This window comes from Homo sapiens, chromosome 8 (genome assembly GCF_000001405.40).
Source record: "Homo sapiens chromosome 8, GRCh38.p14 Primary Assembly".
In the NCBI taxonomy this organism is placed as follows: domain Eukaryota; kingdom Metazoa; phylum Chordata; class Mammalia; order Primates; family Hominidae; genus Homo; species Homo sapiens.
The window spans coordinates 142,927,174-142,947,441 of NC_000008.11; the positions used below are offsets into that span (position 1 = coordinate 142,927,174).

The 20,268-nt window shown below is 51.5% G+C and overlaps 1 annotated feature.

The window, feature by feature from the left end:
• Positions 7,340-7,634: an enhancer, noted in NCBI's record as "tiled region #5092; K562 Activating DNase matched - State 8:EnhW". NCBI's record gives its function as "activates a minimal TATA promoter and a strong SV40 promoter by Sharpr-MPRA in K562 cells {active_cell/tissue: K562}" and the evidence as "EXISTENCE:reporter gene assay evidence [ECO:0000049][PMID:27701403]".

Genomic DNA, 20,268 nt, shown 5'->3' on the forward strand with positions numbered 1-20,268 from the left:
TTGTGTTGTTGTTAGTGTTGTTCTATTTAGTTTGACAATCTTTGTCTTTTAACTCTCAAAGTCCATCCACTTAGTATTTTTGTGATAACTAATGTATGTGGATTATGTTCACTTTATTTTCTGCATTTGGTTTATCCCAAGTTATCCATTTTTAAGTTCCCTCTTTTTCTCTCCTACTTCGGAAGACATATTCTCCATTTCCATTATTTTCATGGTTACCTTAGACATTTTAAAGTGAATTTTGTTAGCCAGGCATGGTGGCACATGCCTGTAGTCCCAGCTACTCAGGAGGCTGAGGCAGGAGGATCTCTTGAGCCCAGGAGCTTAAGGCTGCGGTGAGCTATGATCGCCACAACCCTCCAGGCTGGGTGACAGAGCAAGACCCTGTCTCAAAAATAAATAAATATATAAAGTAAATTTTGTAACTTAAAGTATAACATTACTATTCAGTATCTTCCCATAAAAAAATAAACAAACATAGAAACTTTAGAGCTTTTTAACTCTGGTCACCCTCTTTTGACGGTTATGCTGTTATTGGCCAATATTAAAGTTCTATTTTGGTTTTTTAACAACATAAACTGGATGTTATCATTGTGATCAGAGTTCACGTTTGCCTCCTTTTAGTCACGTGTTTTCTTTGCTCAGATTCATCTCTACACTGGAAGATTTTGGGCTAGGTGAATTCCATTCTTTCTGGAGGTCATTCTTTAAAACATCTTTGGAAAAGCTTCTGTTGGTAGAGATCTCTTTCAGGTCTCTAGGTCTAAAAATGTCTTATTTTAATCTAAATCTTCAAAGATAGTTGTGTTGAGTGTTCATTTCCAGGTAGGCAGTGCTTGTATTTCAGCATTTTGAAGATGTTAGACGCGGCAGGCGATGTTCACTGCCCTTCCACACACGTCCTGTTCTTCCCTGGCAGGTGAACGGGCTCCGTTCCCAGCCTGCCTTGCAGTCTGTGCTCCCCTGTGTCTGAGTTTGGCCAGTGGAACGGGGGAGAAGACACATGTGCCTCCCCTGGCCTGGCCCTACCCCATCTCGGCCTGGCAGCCTCAGATACCACGTGTCGGAACGACGGGTGGAAGGAGGGTGACCTGATTAGGAATGCTCACTTCCGAGTGTCTGTGAGAGGGGCTTCTTTCCCATTGGAGCCATCGTGCACATGTGTTTTGTTGCAGCGGTGGGTGTGCGCCAACCCCTTGGCCACTGTCTCTGGCTTCCGCAGCTGGCGTTGGAACGCCGGCCGTCACGCTGCCATCCCAGGGTGTGGGATGCCCTGGAGGCTACAGGGAGAGCTTTGTTATTGAGATCTCTTCGGAGTCTGTGGAAGAGTTCCTTTTCCCTCACCCTGCTGGGAATTCTCTGTGCCTCTGACTCTTAGTGTTTCATCAGCTCTTTTAAAATTCCTCCAGGACAGTCTGGTAGTTCATTTTGATTGTTCGTTAGTCACACACCTTACGCCTTCTCACTTCTTTAAATGTAGAGATACTATTGGCTTCAAAAGACTGGAAATCAGGAACCCTGGACCTGGTCTTCATGCAGGTGGGCCTGGCTTGCAGCTGTGTTTTCCCTTCTGAGCCTTACTGTTTGCTTTTCTGGTTTTCCAGAAACTGTCACTTGCCCAGGGCCACTTTTTGTATTAAAGGCTCGGCTTGGGGTTCATCAAAGGTGGGGTGACCTAAATCCTAAACCAATTTGAGGGCCTCCATCCTGATCCATAGGAGGGGACATTTCTCACTCCTCATTCCCAGGGTTAAAGAGCCAAGCTTCCTTCTCATCTCCCATGCTGTTAGATAGAATATTTCTGGACCACATTTTCACTGAAGTTGTAGTCTTGAAAGTTAAGGCTTTATGTGGGGCTTTCAACTCGTTTCTTTCTTTCTTTTTTTTTTTTAGAGACAGAGTCTTGCTCTGTTGCCCAGGCTGGAGAGCAGTGGCACTATCTCAGCTCACTGCAGCCTCCGCCTCCCAAGTTCAAGCCATTCTCCTGCCTCAGCCTCCCAAATAGCTGGGACTACAGACATGTGCCACCATGCCCGGCTAATTTCTTTTCTTTTCTTTTCTTTTTTTTCTTTGTATTTTTAGTAGAGACGGGGTTTCACCATGTTACCCAGGATGGTCTCCATCTCCTGACTTTGTAATCCATCCACCTCAGCCTCCCAAAGTGCTGGGATTACAGGAGTGAACCACAGTGCCCAGCCATTCAATTCCAATTTCTAACTTTGCTTGTATCCTAACCCTCACCTCCTTTCCTCCTTAGAACTCAAGCCATCTTTTCACCAAGGTGATGAAAGCGGTTGCCGCATGCACCCCCACTCCCAGGTGATGGCTGTGTTGGCTTCTGTACTGACTGGTTGCCTATCATAATCCCAGAAGACACAACTCCAAATGCCATAATCCCAAATGTTGAAATCCCAAAAGATCAAAATCTCAAAAATACAATTCTGGAAAAATATTGTAATTATTTTAAAGATATTTATTCACATTTTTAAGGGGGACTTGTTTGAGAAACGCATAAAAACATGGCAGAACACTTCCTCAGCCACTTTACGCAATAAAACAGGCAATAAGAACTTCCATATTTTTGCAATCATAAATACTCAGGCCATCACCTGGGAGTGGGAGTGCGTGTGGCAACTTGTAGGAGCCTGGTCACAGCTCGTTCCCAGTCTATCATCATGGTTTGGGGATTCCATCGAAATCTATTCTCTTCTGCACAGTCCACCAAATCTTCAAACAAGCATTCATAAAGTGCTTCACTTTTTCCTGTCATTGAAACACAAATGAGGAGATAAAGTTCTAGAATTTTCAGATCCAACAGGGACTTGAATTGCATATAGTTGAAAGAAAACAGTGGGAACAGTTTTGAAAGTGCCGTCTTTAGTCGAAGTGAAGCATGCGCCAGTCTTTCTATGTCAGATTTAGTGGTAAATATAAGAAGTCTATCCTCTTCAACAGTCAAATCCCTAATCAATAATCTCTCACCATGCAGTGTGTTTGTGTCACTGGAGGAACCCCAGTGGCAAAGAGCAAACCTCCTTGGTTCCGAAGCTCGCTGAGCTTGTCGAATTCGCTTTATTCTCTGATGAAGCGCGTTTTTGTTTTGTTTTGTTTTTGAGACAGAGTCTCACTCTGTCGCCCAGGCTGGAGTGCAGTGGCACTATCTTGGCTCACCGCAACCTCCACCTCCCAGGTTCAAGCAATTCTCCTGCCTCAGGCTCCTGAGTAGCTGGGACTACAGGCACCTGCCACCATGCCCAGCTAATTACTTGTATTTTTAGTAGAGACGGGGTTTCACCGTGTTAACCAGGATGGTCTCCATCTCCTGACCTCGTGATCCACCGGCCTCGGCCTCCCAAAGTGCTGGGATTACAGGCGTGACCCACCGCGCCCAGCCCAAGGGCATTTTTTGAAGGCAAGCCTGGTGCTGTGTGTGAAGGGGCAGAAGTCAGGCCTGAATGGATAATGTGACTTGGGAGATTTCTTGTATTTTTCACCTGAGTTTTCACTTCTATTGTCTTCAAAACACTTGCTGCACTTGTATCTGGAGAGTGGTGGTGGTCTACGAATTTTGCAGATATATGCTGTCTATTTGAAGGTCTTATTATTGTTTGTTGCAATTAAGCAATTTTCTGCTTAATTGCAGTGCCAATAATAATTAGCTTTTAAACTATTATCTTTCACCATTAAGTAGCTTAATACACTTATTGCAGCCTTTTTGCAAAGGAATGATTCCACAGATCTCTTCCATTGTGTTGTAAGAAATACAGTAAGAAGGAACAGTATTCAACTTCCACAATACAAAGTCTGTATTAGTCAGGGTTCTCCAGAGAGACAGAACCAATAAGTTCTGGGTATGGATATATGAGAGGGGTTTATTAGGGGAACTGGTTCACATGATTACAGAGGCTGAGAAGTCGCATGGCAGGCTGTCTGCAAGCTGGAGACTGTGGGAAGCCAGTAGTGTGGCTCAAACCGAAAGCCTCAAGACCCATTGCGGGATGGGAGGGGACAGGTGTAACTCTCACTACAAAGTTGAAAACCTGAGAAGCCGGGGGCCACTGGTGTAAAAGTCCTGGACTCCAAAGGCTGGAGAGCCTGGGGTTCTGTGTTCAAGGCAGCAGAAGAGGTCTGTCCCAGCCCTCAGGGAGACAATTCACCTTCTGTATCTGTTCTCTCCAGGGCATCCGTGGATTAGCCGGTGCCCACCAACATTACAGCAGATCCTCCCCATACAAACCACTCAGACCCACATGCTGATCTCCTCTGGAAATGCCTCTCACACACACCCCGAATAATGTGTCACCAGGTTTCCAGGTATTTCTGAATCCAGTTGAGTTGACACTTAAAGTTAGGTCCACAAGTTCACCCCTTGTCAACTTGGCACCCATACCCGTCTCCTCCTGAAATCACAGTTAATTTCCAAAAAAAAGGGACAAGAACAAGGAAACAGTGCTGTCTAACATGGTGCAACTGTCCTGTGATTGGGATTCTTGGGATTTTAGATGTTAGAGATTTTAGACTTTAGGAGTTTAGATTATGGCATTCCGTCCTGTGTCTTTTGGGATTATGATCCAAACCCATGTAGACTGATCCCTTGTCCAGGTCCCTCCCTATTTGGGGCTCCTGAAGATGTGTTCTTTTGAGAGCCTGGAAATGCATCTTTGTATGTTTTTCAGTATTTATTGTTGCTGGAAGTGAAAGGATTTTCAGAGTTTCTGCTCCATAATTTTGCTAGAACCTGAAGACATTTCCTGGAGCTTTTTAAGTAGCGCACGGTGTCGGGCAGCTCTCCGCAGCCATAGGAGGGAAAGACAAGGCTGACTCCGTAGGTGTGTGGCCGCCTCATAATCATGGAAGTCAGGCCTCACTTTGCAAAAGAACGGTTCCAGCTTTCTTGCAGAAATCTGTATCTGTTTGCAAGAGGGGCCCTGGAATTGCTGGTTGTTGTTCTTCTGACCTCATGGACTGTTGGGCAATAGTGGCATTGTCTAAAAAATTCTAAATGGCTGAGTACACCCTTTCATTGATTCACCCAGCACGTCTTTATTGGGAACTTTCTACCAGTCAGGCGCTGTGCGATATGCTAATGAAAAAGAAAGTGTCTGCCCTCAGAGTGACTCCATTCTATAAGTCTAAACTATAGACATATGTGCTAACACATTTATTTCCCTAATTTTGATCATGTCAGAGTAGACACAGCATAATTGTCTTGTAATAAAAGAAGCACTAAGTTAAGGTGCACCCATTGAGTGGGACAGTGGACATCGGTAATAAACGTGGGTCTATCTGAATTAACCGAAAATGTTGCTTACCATGCATTAAGCAAAAGGACAAGTCAGAATCATATCTATAGAGACACACTTGCATGTTCTTGCAAATACCCCACACACACATACACAACAATGTCTACAAACCCGTGTTCTAGTAGGTGTTGAGCAGAACGTCAATAATAAAGATAAAAGCCTCTAGAAAGCAGGCTGGGCGTGATGGTTCACTCCTGGAATCCCAGCACTTTGGGAAGCTGAGGCAGGTGGATCACCTGAGGTCAGGAGCTCGAGACCAGCCTGGCCAACATGGTGAAACCTGTCGCTCCTAAAAATACAAAAATTAGCCGGGTGTGGTGGCAGGTGCCTGTAATCCCAGCCCTTGGGAGGCTGAGGCGGGAGGATCCCTTGAACCTGGGAGGTGGAGGTTGCAGTGAGCTGAGACTGTGCTACAAGAGCATGCTACAAGAGTGAAACTGTCTCAAACAAACAAACAAGAAAAGCCTCTGGAAAGCAAAGACAACCTATAAATTTGCCTTGACAGTACCATTCAGTGACAGAAGACAATGGAGTAATAATATATATGTAAAATGCAAACGGAACATTACTGTAAACACAGGATCTTAAATTCAGTTAAACGCTCATCCAAGAGAACAGGCTAAAGGAACTATTAATGAAAAAAATCAGTTTACTCATCACAGACCCTGCCCAAAAGAACTATTCAGAATTTGCTTCAAAGAAAGTGATCCAGAGATAAGATGAGGGATATAAAAAAGTGAGTGTGAGTTCAGAAGTTGACACAATTATGCTGATACATTTAATTAACAATTGACTATGGAGAGGCCAATAGCTCAAGAACTTCAAAATAGCCTATGGGCAATAACCCGTGGGTACTTAGCTTTGAAATACTTAGAACGTTCCAGATAGAATTCCCCTTTGATGTCTTTTCTTCGTCAGCATTCAGAACCAGACATTATACTGAGAAGCCCTTTTTATTTTTTATTTTTATTCTTTATCTTTTTGAGACAGAGCCTCACTCTGTCACCCAGACTGGAGTGCAGTGGTGTGGTCTACACTCGCTGCAACCTCTGCCTCCCGGGTTCAAGCGATTCTCCTGCCTCAGCTTCCTGAGTAGCTGGGATTACAGGCACCTGCCACCATGTCTGGCTAATTTTTGTAGAGATGGGGTTTCACCATGTTGGCCAGGCTGGTCTTGAACCCCTGACCTCAAGTGATCTGCCTGCGTCAGCCTCCCGAAGTGCTTGGATTACAGGCATGAGCCGCTGCGCCTGGCCAAGAAGCCCTTTTTAGTCTTTGGTACATGACCAAGGACCTCACTCCTCTAATTCACAGCTCAGGCAGCAGGGTGGACTGCCGAAGCTCTGCCTGTGAGATGCGAAGGTAAGCTCGGCGGTGGGTGCCACCTGCCGGGGAAGAGCCTGGTTTAACTCCTCTGGTCCTCAGGGTTTTTCCTTAATCGTAACATGGCCCTGGAGCAATTGTAACAGCAGCAGTAACAATACGTTATGAGGATATCAATAAGAAGCACAACTGAGCACTTACAGCTGGGCACCACGTTACACTTTATATCAAATACATATACATGACACTATGAGGCAGAACTGTGATCATCCCCATTTTATTGGTAAACAAATGAAGCCAAGAAAAAATCAGGGCCTTTGCCCAGGGATTGCCCAGGGATACTCGGCTGTGAAGTGGTACCACGGGGTCCAGCCCTCCTCTCTGGTTCCACAGCCTCTGCTCCTCCTGGGCCCACGTTCAGCGCCAGGCTGGGAGCAGTCGCTGCCTGGTGGGCTGCAGGACTTGAAGAAGGGTGCTGGGCAGCAGCCCCAGGAGCCATCCAGGATGTAAGCACCCCAGGGACTGACTCTGGAATCGGTGGGTTCTACTTGGCCACGTGGCTAGCACTCCCTCCACACCTCGAGAACCTGGGGGATCCTCAGTCTTTCAGTGCTGGCCTGGAAAATGTTGGGTCAGATCAGTCCTCCGATTTGCAGATCTCCGGGCCTCTGTCTCATCACCTGCAGGTGTGGGCAGCTCGGCACCTTGAGGGCCACAGGCCCTGGTGAGCATCATGGGCAGGAAGCACCGCACTCACGTCATGAGACCCGTGGCAGGCCCCGGGAAAGTTGTGCAGCTGCTGTGACTACCGGTCTCTGCATGAAATTGATAACGAACTGAGCGTGGGATGAGGCTCAAGCCAGATGTGCTGCACCGTGCATGCAGCCCATGTGTGGCCACAGAAATAAGCATCCAGGCGCCCCCAAGTCCACAGGAAACTGGGGGAGGGCCAACAGGACTAACACCTCCTCCTCAAAGGCTGACATCAGCTGTACCAGCTGGCCCCCGGGGGAGCTGCGCTTACACACATAGGCGAGCACTGTGGTGATGGTGCCATCGTGACGTGGCAGAGCATAGCCGCTATCAGCAACATCGTCTTCACAGCACTCTGTCTGTGGAGCCCTTCCAGGCACTGCTAGAGCCAATTCTTCAATCTGTTCTAGGGCCAGCACTCAGAGGGCGGTTCCTGGTGTGGCAAAGGTGGCACAGTCTTGGGGCCCCGGCCACCACGGATGGTGGCAGAGGTGAGCACTCTGACTGGCCAGGTCTGTGGCGCATGTCTGGGAGGGACTCCTGAAAGCCCAGCCCAAGATCAGCATCTCAGGCTTCACAGAACCCTGGGGGCTTTCTCACAGGGCAGAACCTGGCCAATCAATGCTTGCTCTGCAGGTCCTGCTGCAGGTGGCAGCAGCAGCAGCTGAGGCTCCATAGAAATGGCGACGTGTGAGCCCAGCAGACCCATGGAACCAGAGCCCAAGGTTTCACAAGATCCCCACGACCCACACGCACAGCAGAGTCTGAATGGAACCAGAACCCATCGTTTCACAAGGTCCCCATGGCCCACATGTGTGGCAGAGTCTGAGAAGCACAGTTACAAAACACCATCACCACCAGCATCATCATCACTGTTACTGGATGGAAGGTCTTGACTGTAAGCTCTCCAGGTTCCTGGCATGTTGAACAAAGAATTGAACAAAACACACAAACAAAGCAACCAAAAGGCATAGTAACACAAGCACAGATTTATTGACATGAAAGTACACTCCACAGAGTGAGAGCAGGCTCAAGCAAGCAGCTCATGAGCCCTGACTGCAATGTTCTTTAGGGTTCTTTTTTTTTTTTTTTTTGAGACAGAGTTTCGCTCTTGTTGCTTAGGCTGGAGTGCGATGGTGCAATCTCGGCTCACTGTAACCTCTGCCTCTCAGGTTCAAGTGATTCTCCTGCCTCAGCCTCCTGAGTAGCTGGGATTATAGGTGCGCACCACCACACCCAGCTAATTTTGTATTTTTAGTAGAGACAGGGTTTTTTCATGTTGGTCAGGCTGGTCTTGAACTCCCAACCTCAAGTGATCCACCCGCCTCGGCCTCCCAAAATGCTGGGATTACAGGTGTGAGCCACCGCACCTGGCCAGGGTTTTTATTAAGCTAAAAGAATTTGATAACACCCATAGGTGCCTGTTAGAGACCTCCAATTAACTATACCCTATGAAGGACTGGCCCACAGCCCCAGAACCACCTGGAACCTGCCACACCCCAAGCCAGCTGGAGTCTCCTGGACTCAGTCTCCCTGCAAGTCTCACCCTGAGCTTCTGATTGGCAGAGCCCAGTCACGTGACTGCCTGTAGCAGCAGGGGGGCCTGGGAAGTACAGTTTTCTAAATCTCATTTTGGAGAAGGAGGGTTGTGGGGGACAAGAAAAATAAGAAAACAAGTTCATCTAAATCTGAAAACAGAAGTTCTACCATCTGTGACTCACATCACAGCCACAGCTTTCTCAAGGTTGAAAGTGTTGGGGTTCCCGCAGCTTTTCAACTTTCTTGCTTATCACAAGACGAAGGCCTTACTCTGCTGGCTGCACCACAGGGCCCAGGTGGGGTGACACGCAGGGGTCCTCCCCATCAGGTCAGACGGGCAGGCTGGGGCAGCCCTGGGCGTCCTGCATCACCCAGCGACCACCCTGCCTTCTGTCTGTGCCCACCCCATCTCCAGCCTGAGCCTTAAAATGCCACAGCTGCACCGACCGTGAGGGCCATGCCTGCCCTATCGCACAGTGTGCAATGAATAAATGAAAGCCGGTATAATGAAACCTGAGAGCTGCCATTCCCATTTCAAAATCCTGGCCCCACCGTTGTCCTCAGTCTCACGCCATACTGCACTGCCGCAGGACCCTGCCATCAGAGAGCCATAAATTAATTACCTACCAAACACCACTGCAGTGACAGTCTTCACAGTGAAATCTGAAAAATAAACAAAGAAATCAAGCTCTGTAGGCAGGAGGTAGGTACTGGACCCTACAAATTCTGTGTGTGTCTATGTGTGTCTGTGTGTGTGTCTGTGTGTCTGTGTCTGTGTGTGTCTGTGTCTGTGTGTGTGTGTGTCTGTGTGTGTCTGTGTGTATCTGTGTCTGTTTCTGTGTGTGTCTGTGTGTGTGCGTCTGTGTGTCTGTGTGTGTCTGTGTGTCTGTGTGTGTGTCTGTGTCTGTGTGTGTGTATCTGTGTGTCTGCTTCTGTGTGTGTGTGTCTGTTTCTGTGTGTGTCTCTGTGTGTGTGTATCTGTGTCTGTTTCTATGTGTGTCTGTGTCTGTGTGTGTCTGTGTGTCTGTGTCTGTGTGTGTGTGTCTGTGTCTGTGTGTCTGTGTGTGTCTGTGTCTGTGTCTGTGTGTGTCTGTGTCTGTGTGTGTCTGTTTCTGTGTGTGTGTCTGTGTGTGTCTGTGTGTGTGAGTGTCTGTGTGTGTGTCTGTGTGTGTCTGTGTGTGTGTGTCTGTGTCTGTGTGTCTGTGTGTCTGTGTATCTGTGTGTCTGTTTCTGTGTGTGTGTGTCAGTGTGTGTGTCTGTGTGTCTGTGTGTGTCTGTGTGTGTCTTGTGTGTGTCTGTGTGTCTGTGTGTCTGTGTCTGTGTGTGTGTGTCTGTGTGTGTATCTGTGTGTCTGTGTGTGTGTCTGTGTCTGTGTGTCTGTGTGTGTCAGTGTGTCTGTGTGTGTCTGTGTGTCTGTGTGGGTGTGTGTGTGTGTCTCTGTGTGTGTGTCTGTGTGTGTGAATTTAACACTGGCATCAGCATGGTGGTTCCAACCAGTGCTTGGAGTCAGCAGCGTTGGGATAATGTCTTAACCATTTGGAATGAGAGGAAGAGAGAGACAGAAAACCTGAAAAACACCTCAGTGAAAACCGTGAGTAATTTTGTTTACAGCCTTAGAGTGGAGAAATATTGCAGAAGTATAAATTTAAATTATTCAAAAGTGAAAATATTTACATAACAACCATTAACTGAAGATTTAAAAAAGGCAAATGATGAGAAGGACAAACTATTTGCAATAGGTGTAACAAGCAAAAAGTAACATCTCAAGCACATAAAGACCCAGCATAAAAGAGCAGAGGCCCTGAGCAGGCCATTCACAGATGAGGAAGTGACAGGACCCCCCACGGAACATCCACGGAAGCAATTCAACACGGTGATGAGATGCCACCCGGCTCCACCCAGATTAGGGTGCAAAAATGTAAACGCCTGATAAAAGTCAGTGTTTTCAAGGGTGTAGGGGAATGAATACGCTTATATCCTGTATAAACTGGTGCCATCCTTTAGGAGGGCCAGTTGGCAGGGGTAACCAAAATGTTAAATATGTGAGCATTTCTCTTTTTTCAGAAATTTCACTTTTAGGAATCTTTTTGACAGAAATACTCTGATTTGGGCACGAAGACGTGTGTCAAAGATGTGCAAAGCTGTAATATCAAAAAGCTGGAGGGCGCTGAAGTTTCCATTCCATGCAAGAGGCACTATCTAAGCCGTGGCTCTGTTATACTGGGGGCAACTGTTATTTAAAAAAGAATTCGATGCAGCTATAGATCCTAACATTAAAATATCTACAAGACACGGTAATGTTTAAAAACTAAGGCCCCAGAAACTCCAGTAAAAATAGTTAACACAGACCAGGCATTGTGACTCATGCCTGTACTCCCAGCACTTTGGGAGGCAGAGACAAGAGGATTTCTTGAACCCACGAGTTTGAGACCAGCCTGGGCAACATAGTGAGACCCCCATCTCTACAAAAAATAGAAAAAGTTACCCAGGCGTGGTGGCGAACCCCTGTGGTCCCAGCTATTTGGGAGGCCGAGGCGGGAAAATCACTTGAGCCAGGAGGTGGTGGCTGCAGTAGCTGTGATTGTGCCACTGCACTCCAGCCTGGGCCACGGAGGGAGAGACCCTATCTCAAAAAAAATTAATTTAATAAAAATATAAAGAATCCTAATTCTCTCTGGAAGGAAGATGAAGCGCCTGCTACCATCACCGGCTGCCCTGGGAGAGAGCACCGGGATGCAGTTCCCTCCTGACCAGGCCCCGCCTCTTCCAGGAGGCCGCCCCGGGCTGCTTTGCAGCTGCAGGAGTCGGTGGTCCAGCCTGGATTCGGGTGCGGGAGGCTTGACACAAAGGTGGGCAGCTGTTCCTGGGGGCCTGTGGGCGCCCCTGAGGCTGCGGGGCTGGTGCTTGTTCTCCCAGAAGGCCCCGGGGTCAGGGACTCCCAGTGTCCTCTCCACAAATCACTTCTCAGCATGGCGGCTCCTGGACCCCTGGGTCCCAGCACCCGCTGTGTGCTCCAGGTCAGCCACAGTGACCAAGGGGAGAGTCACACAGTCTGGAAAGGGAGGCGAAGATGCTTCGCCTGGCGGCTGAGGCGGGACACAGCAAGTCCCCGGACTCTTCCTGCAGGCTCCCCACAAGGATGTCCCCAGGGCCTGGCCTCCCAGGAGGCCAGCAGGGGCAGGGGCTCCAGAGGAGCGGGTGGCGGGGTCTGCAGTCGGGGCAGGCCAGGAGGCGCCGGCGGGCCGTTGAGCTTTGCTTCGCTGGGAGGGTGCTGTCCTTGCCCCCACGGGTGGGGCTGGCAGTCAAGTTCCACCCAGGAAAACAAGGATGAGTCACCAGAAGGACCCAGTTTGCCACAGTGACAGCCCCCAGGCAGGTGAGGCCTATCCTGAGCACACGTGGCTTTCAGCGTTTCCCTTCGCCCACCCTGGATGCTTCTGAGGCCTTTCACCCCAGGGGCACATCCTTCCGCCTTCATTTCACGCAAACACCTTTGGCTGGACGGTGAGCTCACGCAGGAGGCTATAAGCGCAGTGGGCGGGACAGGACCAGCGTGCTCCTCCACCCGACTGTGCTCCTCCATCCCACATCCCACCATCCGGACCACTGTGCTCCTCCACCCACCTGTGCTCCTCCACCCCACATCCCACCATCCGGACCAGCGTGCTCCTCCACCCACCTGTGCTCCTCCACCCCACATCCCACCATCCGGACCAGCGTGCTCCTCCACCCACCTGTGCTCCTCCACCCCACATCCCACCATCCGGACCACTGTGCTCCTCCACCCCACACCCCACCATCCGGACCAGCGTGCTCCTCCACCCGACTGTGCTCCTCCACCTTACACCCCACCATTCGGCCCATGGAAGAGCAAGCACAGGCCCTGGACAGGCACAGTCGGGCAGCGCTGTCCTGGAGAGAGACGCATGTCCCCGTGCCCTGTCCAGGCTTGGTCCTTGCTGGACCTTGTGGACGTGATAGGCTGGGACTGAGGGGAGGAAGCGTGAGGCAGAGGCCAACGCCCCCCCAGCCAGGCTTCCCCCGCCTCCCTTGAAGCCTGTGGCAACTGAATGTTATCAGGACCCAGAGGGATCAAAGAGTTCAGTGGAAAATTACTCAGCTTCATGCGAATTTGCTTCTATTTTGGGCAAGGACGTTCTAAGCATGAAAAGAAAGGCTTGATAGATTGATGATAAAATGTCAACCTTCTGCATAAGTGAATTTAAAAGTATATGAAAAACGGAAAAATATATGACAAGGGCTTATAATATTTAATAAAGAAGTAATTGTTCATTTTCTCAAAGGCAACTTTTAAAATTAAAAAAGGAGAAAACAAATCGGAAAAATACAAAAAAGATAAACTGAGGAAAAAATAAAGAAAAAAGTGAACAAGAAGTGGTAGTCAAATTGTCACGTGTAAAAAATAATAGGAAGTGGGGACTTTTTATTTATTTATTTATTTTTTGAGGCACAGTTTCGTTCTTGTTGCCCAGGCTAGAGTGTAGTGGTGCAATCTCTGCTCACTGCAACCTCCGCCTCCCGGATTCAAAAGATTCTCCTGCCTCAGCCTCCCACGTAGCTGGGATTACGGGCATGCGCCACCATGCCTGGCTAATTGTGTATTTTTAGTAGAGATAGAGTTTCACCATGTTGTCCAGGCTGGTCTCAAATTCCTGACCTCAAGTGATCCACTCGCCTCAGCCTCCCAAAGTGCTGGGATTACAGATGTGAGCCACCGCTCCCGGCTGGAAGTGGGGACTTTTGATTCATAAACAAAGAGATAAAGTGACCTGTACAGATCAGAATGCCCAGCCTCACCACCAGTGAAAAAGAAGTCACAGAGCAAGGAGACGTTCTTGAGCCCAGCTTATTTATAAGCCTTCTTGTTTTATTTCATTTTCAATCATGAAAGCCAGCTTCGTGTGGGGGCTGGGAGTGAGTGTCTGGGCAAACTGCAGTGCACTGGGTCCTTCCAGAAGGTGGTGAGCTAATGTGCGCCCAGAGCTTTAAACTGTTCCTAGTCTTTGACCCCGTCATGCAATTTTAGAATTTGACTGAAAGGAAATAATCCAAGATACCACCTGTGCATATGACTTTGTTCCTCATGATAGGAAAACACAGGCGGGGAATAGGAAAAACTGACGGGCACCCACTGTCTCCCCTCAGACCCCTAAAGCAGAGCCTGAGACCAGGATTTGGAGAGGAAGAGGGTCTAGGGTCAGTGAGACAGGGACCGAGGGAGTCAAGGAGAGGGGCTCTGTGCACCACTGGGACCGTGGGGCTGGACTGTGCTGGGCCCTGAGAAGCCCATGGAATGCCTCCCACGGCCCAGCATGAACAGGCGCTGCCTCCTGGGGCAGGGACAGGCCGGGGACCAGCCTGAGTCTGCGTTTCCAGGGTGCCCGTGCCACAGGTGATGGGGCCCCATCAGAAAGGACCTAGTTTTAGCCGGGAGTGATGGCTCACACCTGTTATCCCAACATTTGTGAGGCTGAGGTGGGAGGATCGCTTGAGGTCAGGAGTTCGAGACCAACCTGGCCAATATGGTGAAGTCCCGTTTCTACTAAAAATACAACAATTAACTGGGTGTGGTGGCGTGCGCCTGTAATCCCAACTGTTCAAGAGGCTGAGGCAGGAGAATCGCTTGAATCCGGGAGGCGGAGGTTGCAGTGAGCTGAGATCACGCCACTGCACTCCAGCCTGGGCAACAGAGCTACACTCTGTCTCAAAAAAAAAAAAAAAGAAAAAGAAAGTAAAAGAAAAGAAAAGACCTAATTTCTAAGGACCTGAGAAAATGCTCACAACCCACTGTTAGGCCCAGAGAGAGCCCACCTCCATCACCTGGACAGATGCCTCATGGCTGTCCTCAGAGGGCTGTGTACCCTGCTGTCCCACCTTCTTCTAGATGGCAGATCCAGTGACGCACGCCCGAGCTCAGAGCTCACAGTGTGCACACAGGCTTCAAGGATCCCTACAGCCTAATGAGATGCTCACCAAGTGCCATTCCGGACCCAGGGAGAGGGCACTGGTCATTAGAGGCTATCCGAGGCTGCACCAGGCCACCCTGCTGGGACTGGGTTGGGTGGGGAACTTCCACTGGAGCCCCTTTTGATGACCCCCCCGCCCATCCCCGAGGAATCAGCTATGGAACCATTTCTATATGCAACCAGCTCCTGGGATGCAGTTCATAGGGTCCCCTGCAGGTGCGAGAGCCCCCCACACACAGTCAGACTGAAAAAGCTCCTGCAAGAGAAAGTCAGTGACCCACCCGCCCGCAGATGGCATTGACCAGCGTCTACACCTGCCGATGGCATTGACCAGCGTCAGCACCCATGGCTCCCCTCGACCAGCTGCAAACACTTAACTCACAGGAATGGCCACTGCTGGGTGCTTGAAGTGTGTGTCTCAGCAGAAGGTCCAGCCTGGGGCCAACTGTGTCCCAGGAGCCTGCTGGTTAGGGGGACCATTTCATCTCAAGAGCCCTTGTGTGCTTAAGGGACAACTGGGGGTTCTGAGGACACAGGCCACACCAGCTTCCCTGCTGCAGAGTGAAGTCAGCCCGGGATTATGCCCTGACCCTGGGCTGCAGCTGAGGAAGAGCCCTGGCTTTGTTAGGAAGGTGGCCCAGCCCAGCCCAGCCCCAGCACTGCAAAACATTAGAGAAGCCGCCTGTGCACATGCCTTCCAGAGGAGAGGGCATGAGAGGAAGGAGGAAGGCCATGGAGCCCCCATGGGGAGGCTGTAGACACCTCCCGTGCTGGAAGCCTCCCACCGTGCAAAAAGGCCTTCCAGGGAAGCTTCAGTGAAGTCTGCCCTGTTCACAAATGCTTGTCTGAGGGGCTCCACTGAAGAGACTGGGAGAGGTGCTATCTTAGGGTTTCAGGTCTCTAAGGAGAGAGTCAGCTAACACACTCAAGGAACAGGCGTGACTCTCATGAGGCTTTTTAATTAAAGGATGTGCGGATTAACACACTGACCAAGACCAGAGGCATGGGCTTGCAGGCAGTGGTGGAGGGGATTAGGGGGTACCATTGGTGCCCCGGCCCTGAAGCCCAGTCTCCCAGCTAGATGAAGCCTGACCCTTGGTCTTCCTGCTCTGCAATGCTCTGGAAGTCCAGAGTGGACTGCAGTTCATAGGAGCTGAGATTCCAGTTGGGGTTAGTGCTTCCACCTCCAGGAGGGCATCCCCCAGGGCCCAGCCCCTGGGGACACCATGTCCTTCGGGAGCTGCGGGAGCTGGGGGTGCCCAGGCAGCCTGGCATCGCCTGCATCATCCCCTGCTGCCACCAGAGCTAACCCACACGGTGCTGGGGGCACACCTGTCCCCATGTGGGCGGCTGCTTCTCCCGCACACAGACTGGTGCTGGGGGCACACCAGTCCCCACGTCGGCAGCCACTCCTCCCCTGCACACAGACCAGGGGGTCCCACCACAGGGTTTCTGTTTGCCAATGGTCTTGGGACCCAACTTACAGCAGCACGTTTGAGAATGATTCCAGGTTCTTAGGAGGACCCAGCCTTGGAATGCAGGTAAAGATGAAGGCCCAAAGGCAGTGGTCTGGACTACCAGAGGTGCCTCAGCCCCTGGCATCATTAACAGGTTTCTTGCTGTGGCCGCCTAATGGTGCTAGCCCCTGGAGGCCAGCAGGTGGCCAACCCTCCGGGCCAGCAATCACAATGCAGCACCCTGGACAGCGGCAAAGACCATGTGCAAATGCAGCCACAATGTCTCCTGTAATGCCCACGTGCATGTCCATTCTCTCCTGGAATCCTTCCAGTTGGAGGTGGGGCCCAGAGAGGGCAAGTGCCCTGCTTAAGGTCACAAAGCAAGTCAGCGGCAGATGCAACCTGGCTGCAGACTCCTAATCCCCTCTTGAGCATTCCTGGGGCTGAGCCCCACTGCTATCTGTTGAGGCAGGCCACCCAGATGCTGAGGGCCAGCAGCCCCCAGCTGACTCTGAGGCTTGCTGTGCTGTTGCAGAGATCTGTGTTGCAACATGAGGCCCTGGAGGCGGCCAGGCTGTCTTGGTAGCCAGGGCAGGTGTAAGCGCATGATTTTATAATAATCATTTGCTGACCTGGGGGAGCTGGAAAACAGAGGGCAGAGGGCTGTTTTCTGAGACCTGAGACCTGTGAAATTCACTCCTGCCCCTCTCGACAGACAAAAGCCTGCCAGACTCTTCCTCATTGTTCTCCCACCTTACAGGGATGCAGAGCAAGAGGCAAGTACAGCCCCAGGGCTCAGTGTGTGACAGGGACCAGGGCTCAGTGTGTGACAAGGACCAGGGCTCAGTGTGTGACCAGGACCAGGGCTCATTGTGTGACAAGGGTCAGGGTTCAGTGTGTGACCAGGAACAGGGCTCAATGTGTGACCAGGACCAGGGCTCTGTGTGTGACAGGGACCAGGGCTCAGTGTGCGACAGGGACCAGGGCTCAGTGTGTGACCAGGACCAGGGCTCGGTGTGTGACAGGGACCAGGGCTCAGTATGTGACCAGGGTCAGGGCTTAGTATGTAACCAGGACCAGGGCTCAGTGTATGACAGGGACCAGGACTCAGTGTGTGACCAGGGTCAAGGCTCAGTGTGTTACCAGGACCAGGGCTTGATGTATGAACAGGGCCCAGGGCTCAGTGTGTGACCAAGGTCAAGGCTCAGTGTGTGACCAGAGTCAGGCTCAGTGTATGAGCAGATTCCAGGTCTTACCCACTGTCCCACTTTTCTCCTTCTTCCTTTCTGAGCAGCCTGTACCCGCTGTTCAGTAATTACAAGGCTTTAAATTAAGCATTTCGTGTGTGCCAGCACTGTGGGGCATTTCACGTGGAAAATCTCGTCCACTCTAAGGACCTCAGGATGGGGGCCACCTGCCATTCTCATTTTGGAGGGAGGAGATAGAGGGCCCGGCAGTTGCAGCATTTGCCTGAGGCATTGCTTGCAAACATCAGAGTTCTGATTAGAAGCCAGTCTCCCCAGCCCCTTTGATCTCCCCACCACCCCCTGCCCTCCTGCTGAGGCCCAGGCACACTGCCCTGCCCACCTGCCCACCCAGAGGAGAGGCACTCACTGGTCCAGGTGGTCAGGCAGTAACGAGTGGTGTTTTGGCAGGATGTGGGCTGGAAACAATTCCCTCAATTCCCTGTCACAGAGCACTCATGGCATCTCAGTGCCTGGGCTGGGAGAGGCACAGCTGGTGGTCGGAGACCAAGCCCTGGTCCCTGCCCAGCCTCCCACATCACAACCTCAGGCATAGACTCTGCTTTTGGGAAAGCACCAGCTTACCAAGCCCTGCACCCTGTCCTCCACCCGCCCACCCGTGTGGACACTGGGCCCCGGAAGTGCTCCGTGGTGCACACTTAGGCTCAGATAAAGAAGTTGTCTCTGCTTTCTCCAGAGACGACCAGAAATCACCTGGGTTAGGAACCAAAGCTCTGAGCAGCCAGAGATCCAGGCTACCAGGCAACCCCCAGCACCCCTGGTACCCCTCAAAGCCCACCAGGCCAATGGGGGCAACTCTCTGCAGGACTGAGCAAAAGCAACAGCAGATCCAACGGTGCCTCTGGGTGAGTCAGGAAGACAAAGTGGGCAAGCAGCCCAGGGACTGGGAATGGGGTGGAGGGCCCAGGCTGTGGCCCTGCGCTGGCTCAGGCTCAGGCTCAGGCTGTACCTCCTGTGGGGCCTCTGGCAAGTCCTGCCCTCTGTGCCCCAGCTTCCCCTCTGAGCAGCACGGGTGCCTGACTGCAGAGGCTGGTCCAGCTAGGCCAACCCAGGCTGTCAGGGTGGCCGCCAGCATCCCCAGGGACCCAGGGGGGACCCAGAGCAAGAGTGCGCATCGGCTCACCTGAACACACCAGCCTCAGAGACAGCAGCCAAGACAGGTGGATCCTCGTGGCTAGGGCGGGGCAGATAGGCAGGTGGTGGCCCCATCCAGAGCTCGGGCTGTCTGGCCTGGATCAGGCCATCTGGTCTTTATGGGGCCTTCTCCAGCTGTGGCTGGGGTGGGGCAGGTGTGTCCCTCACTGTCTCCTGCCTCCATCCCAACATGTGACATCACCCGAGGTGTGGCTGGAGCAGTAAATACTTCCACGAGCGCACCCCGCTTCTAAGCTCCCCGGCTGCCTGGGCCTGGTGCCCTGGGCCCTAGAGAGCCACTCACTGCCCCCTTCACCAGCCCCCTGCACACACGCCTCCCCACCACGGCACCAGGGGCCGGCAGTGCTGCTGTCTGCTTCTCCCTAGGGTGCATCACCCTCAGCTCAGCCACCATCGCAAAGGCCACAGGCCAGGTGCCAGAATGGCAGCTGTGTGCGTCTCACAGCTCTGGAGCTGGGAAGTCCAAGATCGAGGTAGCAGCAGGGCTGGTCCCTCCTGGGGCCTCTGTCCTTGGCACGGGGAAGGCATTTTCTCCCTGCATCCTCACACGGTCACCCCTGTGTGTGTCTGTGTCCTCATCTCCTCTTCTAATAAAGACACCAGTCAGGTTAGGTTAAGGCCCCTGTATAAACCACCTCTCTAAAAGCCCTGCCCCCAGACACAGTCTCACTCGGAGGTATTGGGGGTTGGAACTTCAACATAGGAATTAAGAGGAACACAATTCTGCCCCTAACACAGGGAGAGGGAGAAATGGGTCATTTTCCCGTGCTCAGGCCTGGTCATGACAGACGCAATCGCTGAGAGCCCCATGGGGGCAGGTATCCTTGTTCCTAAGATGGGACCGAAACTCACACCTGGAATCCATTCAGTCGGGAGACTGCTGGTCACATCTGGGCCCACAGGGCTCTGCTTCCATTAAACAAATAAATATTCACAATTACAAAATGCCAGAAACTTGTCCTCTCTTCCTGACTACAAGGATTCCAGGTGTGAGCTTTAGCCCCATTTTAAGGACAAGGAAACTGAAGGCCCAAGGTGGGAAGTGACTGGCAGGTGGGGGCTGGCCAGGTAAGGGCTGGCCATGCGAGGGCTGGCAGGTGGGGGCTGGCTAGGTAAGGGCTGCCAGGTGAGGGCTGCAAGGAGAGGGCTACCAGGTGGGGGCTGCCAGGTGGGGCTGCCCTCTGCAGAGTGGGACTGAGTCTTCCGGCCAGCCTGGGGGTCTTCCTGACAGACGTGGAATGGGCTCCCCCTGGTGCTATGGGCTCATGCATGGCTCTCCCTTTGCAGGGGAACAGCTGCCATCCTCCTGGGGGACCCCTATGATGGGGACCCCACAGCCCTGTGATGCACATCTGTGGCCTCACCCCTCCCCAGCCTGCCATGGGCTGACACATTGGCCAGGATTCCCAGGAACAACCCTGGAGAATTCCACAAGATATGGCAGCAACCTGCCCAGATGTTGGCCTAAGGCCAGGCACAGTGGGTC